The sequence below is a fragment of the Homo sapiens genome, chromosome 2 (assembly GCF_000001405.40).
Source record: "Homo sapiens chromosome 2, GRCh38.p14 Primary Assembly".
Lineage (NCBI taxonomy): Eukaryota > Metazoa > Chordata > Mammalia > Primates > Hominidae > Homo > Homo sapiens.
In genome coordinates this window covers 172,223,358-172,235,561 of record NC_000002.12, presented here as the reverse complement: position 1 = coordinate 172,235,561, position 12,204 = coordinate 172,223,358, and the positions used below count along the sequence as shown (strand labels likewise).

Here is a 12,204-nt window from a genome sequence, read left to right as displayed (position 1 = left end):
ACCTTGGTTCCGTTTTGTCTTTGACATGCTAATACCACAATCTCCGCGGAGCACGACCACCTGCGCCTCATAAACCTTTCCATTTACCAACACACGTGCGACCTTTCCTATCCTGGAGCCACTTTGCCAGTATTGATCGCTGATTGCAAGGGAGCATGCTTTGCAACTGCATAGGAAATGATGTTTGTTGCCGCGAAGGTGGTGGCCTGCTAGGATAAAAGAGGTCGCACTCGCTGCCAGAAGAGGAAGGAGACCCCTGCGGTGAGCGACCGTCGCGGCAGACCCGGGACGCGACTTGGAGTCCTCGTTTGCACTCTCCCCGGTTGCAAAGTGGTCCTGTTATCTCCAGGCTCTGCTGACTCCTCCCTCCGCGGCTGCCTTTTGTCTTTGAAGCCGGAGACCGACAATGGATTATTATCTGTGCATGCAGGTGTTGTTGAAGAGAACAATTTGTGAACAATGGCCCTTCCCACGTTGTCCAAACATAACGATTGCTCCGCAGCTGTTATTTGCAGAACTCGTCACCTTTCTCGATGCTGCCGATGCTGCCGTTGAGCCGCCAGCTGTCCCCGAGCGCGGCTCCCCCGGCGCCGCCCACCGCCGACAACTCGGCCGCCCTCACTGCCCCTCAATGTCCCCCGCTGTCCCCCGATGCCTCCAGATGCCCGCCGCTGCTCCCCCCAGTGTCCCCCGTGCCCGCCGCTGCTCCACGACACAAGCTTCTTTTGGCTGCCTTGGCGCTCTCCGCCGCCCCCAGGCGACAAGACCCCCAGGCAGCCAGACTGTGCGGGGCCTTCCTCCCGTGCGCTGTCCCAGGGTCAAAGCACGCTCCCCAGGAACCTCCCATCCCATTCAGTATTCTTCGGGGAAAACAGAATGGACCCACGGGGTTGCTTGTGGACCTTGTTTCAAACACATGACCCACAGGTGTGGATCTCTGCCCTGTAAGATCTGGGTGAAATTGTCTTGAATCCACCAATTCTGCAGTCTAGGAATGTCCGAAACTCCTCCTCACTCCCCTACCCCTGAATCGTGCCAATTCCCAGGCCCTGCATCTGCCTGTGATTCTTTTAGTTCCCCCACCGACCCTAATGCAAAATGCAGCCCTTTCACTGGTTCTCAAAATCTGCTGCCATGAAGCAGTTCCTGAGAGATTTCACTGAAAACGAGAGGGTTTCCACCCAGAGAGGACACCTCTTGACTGACACTTTCAGCTACTGTCCCCACTCCCTTCTCACCCCTACATCCCTTGTTTCACCCAGGAGAAGAAATTCCTCTCCCCGGTTACACATAGAGCTACTCACCAGTCTCCAGGCCCTTCCCTCAAGCTTCACTACCCAATTCCTACCAAGGGTTTTCCAAGTGCCAAGGCTCCCTCTCCTTCAAGGAAGAAGCACTGTTTTATTCCTGGTACAAAGACCTTCAGTTCCCACTGGTGTCCTGCTGGCGCCAGAATGTCTGCTGGTCTGCCAGTTTCTCAAAAAGTTCACTGGCCTGCTGCAGTCTGTTTTCTCACTTAGGGACAATTCACATACAGTGGATGGTGAGCTTACGGTGGATGGTGAGCTACCAAGGAGCAGAATTTCATGACAGCATTCAGCCCTGGATGTCCAACAACAACCTAAAAAGGTCAGCTGCAAAATCTTGCAGGATGCAGTAGCCATGCTTTCAGGGGCAATACATAGTTAGATTGACATATCTATAATGCTGAATTAAAGCTGCCATAACCTTTTCCCAAATCCCTGAATGAAAGGTGACTTCAGTCTTCCTTAAGCCTCTCCATGAATTTGTGTACCCAACTGAAGATTAGACATGAGCATATTGTATTTCTTAGGTTAAATACTATCACTACCTTATGGTAAAGAACATTTTGACTCTGAGATGAAAATATTTCTGAAATTTATTGACATCAATTTCTAAGACCTCTGCTGTGCTCCAGTAGGGAGCCACAAAATAAATCGAACAGTCCCAGACCTCTTCCTCACCCCATTTTATGCTAATAACATACTCTCAAATAACCAGTCATGTCTTTTATGGGGTAACCTTGGGTCTACTTTCCTAACTTGTAGTTAAATAAAATGCATATAGTATAAACATGAAACACCCTGCAATTCCTTGTCCCCTCACTTTAAACCAAGAAAGGAGACAAAGACCAATCAAAAAAATTGTTTAAACCATGTCTTTGGTAACATCTCCTGGTTTGTTTTGGATTAAGGGTCTGAAGGGAAAACAATTGAAAAGCAAGTGTAAATCAGCTTCCCAAAGAGAACACTGAGAATTCCAGAGATCTGCATTTCTCAGGACACTTGAGAATTATGTCCACTGCCCCCACATTCCATAACACTGGGGCAGCCATGCAGATTCACGCAGGACCTGGCTTCATGAACGCAAGGTAAACCATTAGATTCAAGCTGGTCCACTCCACCAACTACCGCGTGTGGTTGCTTGGAACAGCAACAAGCCCACGCCTGCACTAGCCTTTAGGTTGGTCAAGTGGCTGCCCACCCAGGCACTGTCTCTGAGGCAGGGTTAGAATGTCACAGCCCGCCCTGGGAGGACAGGGGTCCTGTGCATGTTAACAAGCTCAGTGAAAGGAGGCAAACCACTTGCCTCAGCACCACATTAGGCTGGGGAAGTATAAACTGGAAACCATGCAAATATTTATCTTCAGGGACCTCCAAGAGACCTCTGGGAGAAGGAAAATAAATCTCTACACGTGTTTACTCATAATGATTCCAACAGGCCCATCTAAAAACGACTCCAGCATTTCATTAAACAGACTTCTTCAATGGTCACCGAGCTGTGTAAATACAGTATAAATAAAGGCACAGATCCTCTTTTCTGGCTGGCTGGAGGTGTCCAGTTTGGATACACAATCCCTTTCTCCCAGACCGATCCCTTCTCTGAGGGCCCAGAAAGCAAGAAGTGTACCGAAGGATGTTGTTTCCCTTTCCATTAGGGTTATTTGTGGAGGGACTTTCATTTTGAAAGCATCTATGCTCATTTTTACAGTTTTGGAGAAACAGAAATTTGAAAAAAGGGCAAAAGTCCTGTGTGAAGAATTTAGTACACTTAACAATCACCTTTGATCTGACAAGAAAGGTGATCGGATTAGTAAGCCCAAGAACATGGTGAAAAATGACTTCCAAATGGTCTCCTTCCTCATCTGGCCGGAATAACAAAGCTAATGTTGGACTCGAGTCTGACAACAAGAAGGAAAAGAGCATGACCTCAGAACATCCTCCTGTGGCAAGGGCCCCAGGTGATGCTGAGAAAGCACTTGCTTTTGGAAAAGGCCCCAGCATGCACACACACACACACACACACACACACACACACACACACACGCATTCCTTCCACACAATGACTTGGTGTAAAGAAAGCAGGAAAATCGCTCTCCAGGCTAAAGATTCCCCCATGCTTGTTATTAGTCACCTTTCCCTCCTCCCAACTCTTACTGGCAACTAGGCCAGGCAATGACTCAGGAGGGCAGGCAGCAGGAGAAGCTGGTTCAGCACCACGGCTTAAAAAACACCAAGGCCCCTTCAAGTGTATTTAACTCAGATTTACTAATCTAGTCACCTAGGGAGAGAAGAAGGGAGCCAAGGAGGGGTGCAGGTGTGTGTTTGGGACAAGGTGGGAAAGGAGAGGCATTTGGGCAATGTTAGTGGAAAAATGGAAGCCCCTGCTTTCCTAAAGATAGCTCATGTAAACCAGGAAGGACTCATTCAGATAACCTCTGCAGGTTTCACCATGAGCCATTCTGCTGTGGGCGACTCTTCTGCCTCCAGTACACCTCTGATATCACTGGTAAAATGAAGGGCCTCTAGCACCACACATTACCTACTGGAGGAGGATGTCAGCAGGTCATGAAGTATAACAGGTTCTCCAGGTGAAAGGGACAGATGGGAGCAACATGAAACTCAGACCTGGGCCAACCGTGAAAGCTGAGTGCCAGGACGCACCAAAGTCAGGCAGAGGGAAGACAATGGCAAACCTCTATGCCCCAGGACTGAAAGATTTCTCCCTGAACATGGTGGGCCCTTTCTTTGAGTATGATGTCTAATTTGGCCAACTTGTCAGATGGTATAAGTCCAAGGGAAACCTCACCTAGCACCGTCTGATGGAGTTTGAGGGTGGCACTTGTAACTGTCCTGCTCTCCTTTGTCTTTGTGCATTCGGCAAACTGTCTCTCCCATCTGGGTTCACTACTCAAGAGACCAGGCCAACAGCTTGTCCGTGCTAACCCTCCACTAATCACATCACAGACCTCCGAGTGCTCCCCACCCCGAACCTTGCCTGTCCTTTCCTGTCAGAGCAGGCTGCTCACACCCAGCCACAATGATGTGATTGCAGCAGAGCAGCTCCTTAAGTGGAACACTGGGGAGGATAACACCCTGCCTGAAATTTTCAACAATCACACACTCCCCAGCCCTGATGTTCTACACAGCACTTCCATTAGCATGATTTGCGACAGACTTACTAACCAAACCCCACTGCTTCTGGCTGGTATTCAGGCCCAAATACAAAGGAATGAGTAAAAGCTGTTTTCTCCCCAGCAGTATCTCGCCTCCTTGGCAGGTGGCAGAGGATGATGTATGGAATAGCTGGCATCTCCTCCTCCTCCTTGGAAAGGAATTCAGCACACAACACTGCTGTCAGCCAACCCACCAGCCAGCTGACTCTCTGAGGGCAGCGGCAGGCCGAGCAGCAAGGCTGGATGCAGCCGCCAGGTAAAGGAATAGGCCAATGAGGCCAAGGGACCTGCACCGGCACTGCCTCTCCCAGGGCCTGAATTCCTGGGCAGCCTCGGCCTCTACAGCCCACAGCCTATGCACCAGCCCACTAAACAAGCCTCCTCCATCCTCATGTGTAATCAATTATGTGAAAATCTCACTGGAACTTTCTTTTAATGTCCTTTCTAAAAGCCTAGCCATTCCATTAAATCTGCCCTTTAATCTACCCATGCTTCCTTTATTGCAATACATACATCAACACATTCCATGAGCCACAGAGCTATCTATAGAATATTAACAGTACCTTTCTTGTAAATGCTGACACATTCAGAATGGCTTCTGTATTTGTTTTATTTGTGTTCTTACACAGTCTGTGCTCCAGAGACTTTGGGGGCTCCTGCCAGGAGAGGCTGGTCATGCTGGGTCTCTCAAGTACTTCTCATCTGGCCCAGTGGTGGCTCCCAAGATCTTTACTCAGGGACCTGGGGCCACAGTCTGACTGGAGGTTTAGGAGCTTGTCTGAAGCTGGCTTTGCAGAGCAATCATGATGCATGTACTGATATTTAATGTTGATATGTAGAGGTTTGGAGTAGAAGGTCATGAAATAATGAGGAACCCAAAACCCTACCCCCATATTGGAGCTGCAGCCAATAAGATCAAGTGCAGCCATTGATTATGGTGCCAAGAAACCCCAGAGTCCTTCTAGAAGGAGCCTCAGAGCCAGCCAGCTCTCCGTCAAAAAGGAGGCATGCAAGATATCCTATTTCAATGGGCAAGTGGCAAGATTTAAAAGACAAACATGAGCATGTAGGTGACATGGAGTACCTAGAACTCACATGTTGATGAGGCAGTAAGCACTGTCATTAATTCAGCTTGTACCGAATAACACACACTATGTAAAAGCCTTGACTATACTAGCTCATTTAACCCTCAGCACAACCTTGTGAGGTAAGCATCACTAGCAACCCCATTTCAGAGACCAGAAAACTGAGCCCTTGTTCCAAGATCCAACAACCAGCAAGTGCTGGTCCCAGGCTTTGAAACCAGGTCTGTCTGGCTATGGAGTTTCCCTTCTCACTACATCCTTCAATCTCCCAGTTACACTAACCTTCACACAGGATTTCTGATTTCACTCCCTGCTATCAGCCCTCAAAACAACAACATTTTGGTGCCCCCCTCTTCGCTGGAAGCATAAGAGCAGACATTATAGGAAAGTGGCTAGCACAGATGACAGCATGCCAGGCCACCACATAACTGGTCAAAGCCACTGGAGCCGGTCCTCCAAGAAGGAAAGGTTAATGGTAAAGGCTGGATCCTCCCAGGCAATTTCCCATTGCCCAATGAGGAAGAAATGCAAGGGTGCTCTTAATCAGGTTATTGGCTCCTTTCTGATTCCAAACAGCTTTCTGTAATTTAGCAGACTTCTCAGGAAGGCAGCTCCTTGGTGCCACTTTCTTATCACAAGCCACCATCAGAAACTACCAGGAAATGAACCCTACTATCATCCTGGCATTTGCTACCTCACCCCAGCTCAGGTCACCTGGCCCCACGGAACTAGTGTTGCCGGATTCAGCCAAAACAAAACAGAACACGACCCAAGTTAAATTCCAATTTCAGATCAACAATGGATTTTTTTTTTTTAGTACAAGTACGTCACATGCAATCTTGTGAATGCTTATTCTAAAATATTACTTGTTGATTACCTGAATTTCAGTAACCCCTACAAGGGCCCCCAATACAGCACTTCTCTCTTCAAAAAACAAGCGTTCTAGTGAAGGTCAGAAACTATTACACAGAAGGTATATGAGATTTAACAAGCCACCCAGGCCCCTAATTAAGACCCAGGGAAAGTAAGCACACACTTCTAAAGCCCTTGCTTGGGGCTTGGTGAGAGCATCCTCCCACCAGGAGGAGCCTGGGCTAAACCCTAATTACCCCCAAGAAAAATCCAAATGTGTCCACATCACATTGATCTCTGTGGTTGCAAATTCATAGTTCCTTTCTTCATTCCTGTTCACAGGTAAGTCTCCATGTAACACACTTCTCAGATGGAGACAGGGAAACCCCTTCCCTCTCCCACCGGCAGCATATTTTGAACCAAGCAACTAAAATCTCCAGCTGGAACTCCTCTTTCACAAAGATTTGCTTCAGGGAGCAGATGGGAAGAATGGCAGTTACGTAGCCAAAAAAATTACACTAAATGCCAGAGCAAGTTCACACTCGTAAACACCAACTCTGTCCAATGTTTTCATTTTTCAAGTGCGAGCATGTTGCTGAAATCTAGATGCCATTTCAAAACAAAGTTCTGAAAGAGCAGTAAGCGTGTTTCCCTGGCACCAAATTATTTCCCTTCCTCCATGCTCTACAGAGAAACAAACCTCACAATGTTCCCAGCTTGCCTTCTTTTTTTCTGAGACAAGGTCTCACTCTGTCACCCAGGCTGGAGCGCAGTGGCAAGATCATGGATCACTGCAGTCTTGACCTCCTAGTCTCAAGCAGTCTTCCCGCCTCGGCCTCCCGACTAGCCGGGACTACAGGTGCATACCATCACACCCAGCTAATTGTTTAGTTTTTGTAGAGATGGGGGTCCCCCTTTGTTGTTGCCCAGGCTGGTCTCAAAGTCCCATCCTCAAGCAATCCTCCCATCTCAGCTTCCCAAAGTGTTGGGATTACAGGTGTAAGCCATGACACTCAGCCTCCAGCTCATCTTCTGTGGGAAGACTGTTTCACTCTCCTGAGAAGAGCAGCCTCCCCTAGTTTTTATGGAGTTCTGAAACCGGATTTCTGCATGGCCTCTCCTACCTGGCTCTTATCTCTAAGAACATCCACACCACATACCCACAAAAGGCAACACTTGATTTTGCAAGAACTTAGGGCCAACAGCCTGAACCTGGTTTCCTCTGGACAAGCCAAAATTCCCGAGGCTACCCACATCTGTAAAAGACAGCCCCCTCTAGTTTCCTAACAGACTGGTTTCGTTAGTTTGAGCTCCAGGGTTGGGGGAAGGTCCTGGAAATTTGGATGACTCTGGAGGCAGTTACAGTTACTCTTATCTGGGCCCAGGACCAGTGATTCTCAAGCAAGCGAGCCTGCCTCTCCTAAGAGGAGCTGGTATGAGAATATCCAAAAGGATGTTTCATTTGAAAAAGTGTAATTAATATGCCATTTTATATTTGGAAAACAAAACACCTATTGCTTTTGCAGTACCAACTATAGAAGCGAAAGCTCAGTTCTTGGAATTTACAAGAATCAACTTTTCACATTTTATAAGAGCAATAATAGCTAATATTTGAGAACTACCTTACGCCAGACACTATGCTAAACTCTCTACATTGCATGACCTCGCTTACTCCTCAGCCATCCCCTGAGGTAATACTATTATTCCGTTGCTCAAGTAGGGAAGCAAAGGCATGTCCTAGTATGGAGTAGAGCAGCAACTGGAATTGAAGCACTCTAACTCCAGGATCAAACCGTAAATCACTCCATACCATGTCCAAGGATGAGGAGCACTGGTGTGGCCAAATTCATGGTCAGCCATCGCCTCAGATACCATTGGCTTTCTGTCCTGCCGCAGGGCCCTGAGTCTATAGTGGGAATTAGAAAAAACAATGATAAAGTTATTGGGCCAAGCGCAGTGGCTCAAGCCTGTAATCCCAGCACTTTGGGATGCCAAGGCAGGCAGATCACCTGAGGTCAGGAATTCAAGACCAGCCTGGCCAACATGGCAAAACCCCATCTCTACTAAAAATACAAAAATTAGCCAGGCGTGGTGGCAGACCCCTGTAATCCCAGCCACTAGAAAGGCTGAGGCAGGAGAATCACTTGATCCCAGGAGGTGGAGGTTGCAGTGGGCCAAGATCACGCCATTGCACTCCAGCCTGGGCAACAGACAGAGACTGTCTCCAGAAAAAAAAAAAAAAAGCTATTACTTTGCCATTTCATACAGTCTGGTAGAGTGTACACATGCTGCAGGGTGTTGATAAGACAACACAAATAAAATTATATGCTGATATGGCTCTTGTTAAATCCTTGCCAAAGAAAGAAACCTTTCAGGAAAGTCCAGGAAAAATCAACTTTAATGAAAAACCTGCAGCCACTGAAAGAAATCAGGATAAAACACATTAAATTAGTGCCTTGAATGAAGTAGATACTAAACAAACGTTGTTCAGCTGAATTGGGATAACTTTAAAGAATGTTTATTACTCCCCCCCGCCCCCGCCTTCTCCACCCAGGTGAACCTTAAAATGTCATTCATTCACTAGACAAGCATTAGCTGAGTTCTGCCACTAGACGTCACCCGGGGCACGGTGACAGACACCATGATGAAGCAAGGGCCAATCTGACAATTGAGAACATTACAATGTATTGAAGAAATCTGTATACTTTTAAAAGACAAACACATGGGTGTTGGTTTTCTGTTGCTGTGCAACAAGTTACCACAAACTTATTATCTCACAGTTCTGTAGGCCAGAAGTCCAGGCACAGAACAAGGTCGTCTGTTCACCTCTTATCTGGGGCTCAGAGTCCTTGCCTAAGCTCACTGGTTATTGGCAGAATTTATTTTCTTGTAAGACTGGGGTCCAGCTCTCAGCTCCCAGAGAGCTACCCACATCCATTGCCATGTGGCCTCTACCTTCAAATAAGCAATTCCATGCCAAATTCTTCTTTTGTTTCAAATCTCTGACTTTGTTTTTTGGAGCGAGCCAGAGAAAACTCTCTGCTTTTAGAGGGCTCATCAGATTAGGTCAAGTCCACCAGGATACTCTCCCTTTTACCATCGCATAGAATACAATCATAATATCATCATACTCACAGGTGCTTCCCACACTCAGGAAGAGCAGACTGCATACTGGGGTGGGTCATTGGGGGTCATCTGAGAATTCTGCCTGCCACAGCATGTAAACATTTATGGGAAAATAGTGTCTTCTCAACCATTGTTGTCAGCGGCCCCTAAGGGGCCATTGAGACATGAGGAAAACAAGGATACCTGACATCCTATAGTGGTCAAGGAAGAACCATCCTGGACAAATTATAGGGTCACAGGATGCTGAGAAACAGCAATTAAATGAAACAGAAAGAATCTTAATATTTAATAGAATGCCCAGAGCCCTTCTTTGAGTAACAAAAGATCCACTAAAGACTGGTGTAGCTCCTCTTTTATACTGGGAGATCCTTCCCCTACCCACAACCAGACCCAAGATAGAAATTAAATGGATAGGAACCAAATGCGAAGCCACATGATACAGGAAGCCCAGTAACTCCCTGAAACTGGACTAGATTCCTTGCTAAAGGAGGAACTGTTTCTTTTCTTAATGTAATTTCAGATTTAATTATTCACCAACCTCATCTCCAACTAGCATCTGTCCTTGGAAGATGCCTAAATTGAACAGGTCAACCAATGCAGGGATCAGACAGATTACTGTTCCCATTGGTGGCTCTACTAAGGGAAAACTTGACCTTGGGTTTTTCCTCTCGGATTTAGCACACTGTCATAAGGACTGGGGGATGGGGAGGCTGTCTTGAGGATGAGTTTTTCCTATGGAGGAAGAGAGATTTTGGTAAAGAGGGAGCAGAGAGCAGCAGCACAAGGTCCTTCCCACCTGGAGGCTTTTGAGCAATTGAGCAGGGTCTGGAAGGATGGGATGTTCCAGATAACACAGGGAGAAGACTAGCAATGAAGGGAAGGGGAGTAGCTTGAAAGGGCAGCAACAGTGGAGCAGGTGACTTCCTTAAAATGTGAAAGCTGGCCAGATGCAGTGGCTCACACCTGTAATCTCAGCACTTTGGGAGGCTGAGGCAGGAGGATCACTTGAGCCCAGAAGTTTGAGACCAGCCTGGGCAACACAAGGAGACCCTGTCTCTACAGAAAGTAAAAATAAATTACCCAGGCATGGTGGCACAGGCCTGTGGTCCTAGCTACTCCGGAGGCTGAGGTGGGAGAATCACTTGAGCCTGGGAGGTCAAAGCTACAGTGACCTGTGATCATGCCACTGCCCTCCAGCCTGGGTGACAAAGACAGACCTTGCCTCGAAAAAAATATTAAAAAATATAAAAGTTGGAAGCTGGAACTTGTGTGTAAGATGAGGACTCAGTGGAGAAGGAAAGAATGAAAACACCAGACTAAAGATACAGAGAAAAGGGACTCTGCAAGGTCCAAAAGAGGCGTGGTGGGAGGTGACAGAAGATACAGAGGAAAATATTAACTATGTAAAGAAGACGGACACTTCTACTCCTCAGATATGAGGAGGGGAGAGGAAATGGGTAAAAACAGAGATTTTCAGGTGGGTAGAAAGAAGGCCATCAGGTTAGGTGGCCTCACTCTTGGTAACTGGAAGACAAGGTCCGCTGACAGTGAAGGTTTGAAGATGTAAAGTAGATCTTACTCATTTAGAAAATACCCAATAGTTTTTCTTTTTTTTTTTTTTTTTTTTTTGAGACTGAGTCTTTCTCTGTCACCCAGGCTAGACTGCAATGGTGCGGTCTCAGCTCACTGCAATCTCCGCCTCCCGACTTCAAGCAATTCTCCTGCCACAGCCTCCCAAGTAGCTGGGACTACAGGCACCTACCACCATGCCCGGCTAATTTTTTTGTATTTTTAGTAGAGACGAGGTTTCACTATGTTGGCCAGGCTGGTCTCGAACTGCTGACCTCATGATCCGCCCACCTCGGCCTTCCAACGTGCTGGGATTACAGGCGTGAGCCACCGTGCCCGGCCCCAATATTTTTTCTAAATAAAGTTATTCCTGCTGTGGTGGTGGGCTGAGGTGGGGAAAATCTTTGGGAAATAAGATTAGAAATTAAAAGGAGCAAAAGCATCCATAACTAAGGAAAAGAACTAATGTTTGCTGAGTCATTAGCATTAAAACCATGGCATTCCTCCAAAAGGAACCAGAAATGGAACAGAAACGTTTCTTAAGGGCGCAGGTAAGAGAGGCACGAGGTAGCCAATGGTTCCAAGGTCCAGGATACTCACTCCTCTACCCCCAAGAACTTTCTGGGAGGAAACTGTGTCTTCTCAGTCGAAGTGGTGAGGGTAGCCCCCACCAGAACTTGACGGAAAGCTGGTTGTGTTTACCCAATTTTTCTTCCTGTGTGTCTGTAACCAGCCAGGTGTTTCTAGGAAGAGATCACAGTCTTTGGCCCATATTACCAGTACACTAGCTCAGCAAATTGCAGGGAGGGGCTGGTTGTCTTGCATTCACCTTTTGAAGGAAATGTTACAAGTTTTAGAGAAAAAACAGCCATTTAGTCTCTGGTAAATGCAAACATTTCCTAACATACCAAGGCTATCTGAAGAAAGTACAGAGCCTGGGGAAATTCTGCCTAATGAAATCAGTTTTTCCCAAGTGAGTAGCTATAGCAAAAGGAGGGCAAATATTTAGCCCCATTCTGGTCAATTATGATGTCCAGTGTCTTTTTTTTCTTTTCTTTTTTTTTTTTTCTTTCAGAGACAGGGTCTCGCCCTGTC

The 12,204-nt window shown here is 47.0% G+C and overlaps 1 annotated feature.

Moving 5' to 3' along the window:
- Positions 287-581: a silencer, noted in NCBI's record as "tiled region #4152; HepG2 Repressive non-DNase unmatched - State 4:PromP, and K562 Repressive DNase matched - State 4:PromP". NCBI's record gives its function as "represses a minimal TATA promoter and a strong SV40 promoter by Sharpr-MPRA in HepG2 and K562 cells {active_cell/tissue: HepG2 | K562}" and the evidence as "EXISTENCE:reporter gene assay evidence [ECO:0000049][PMID:27701403]".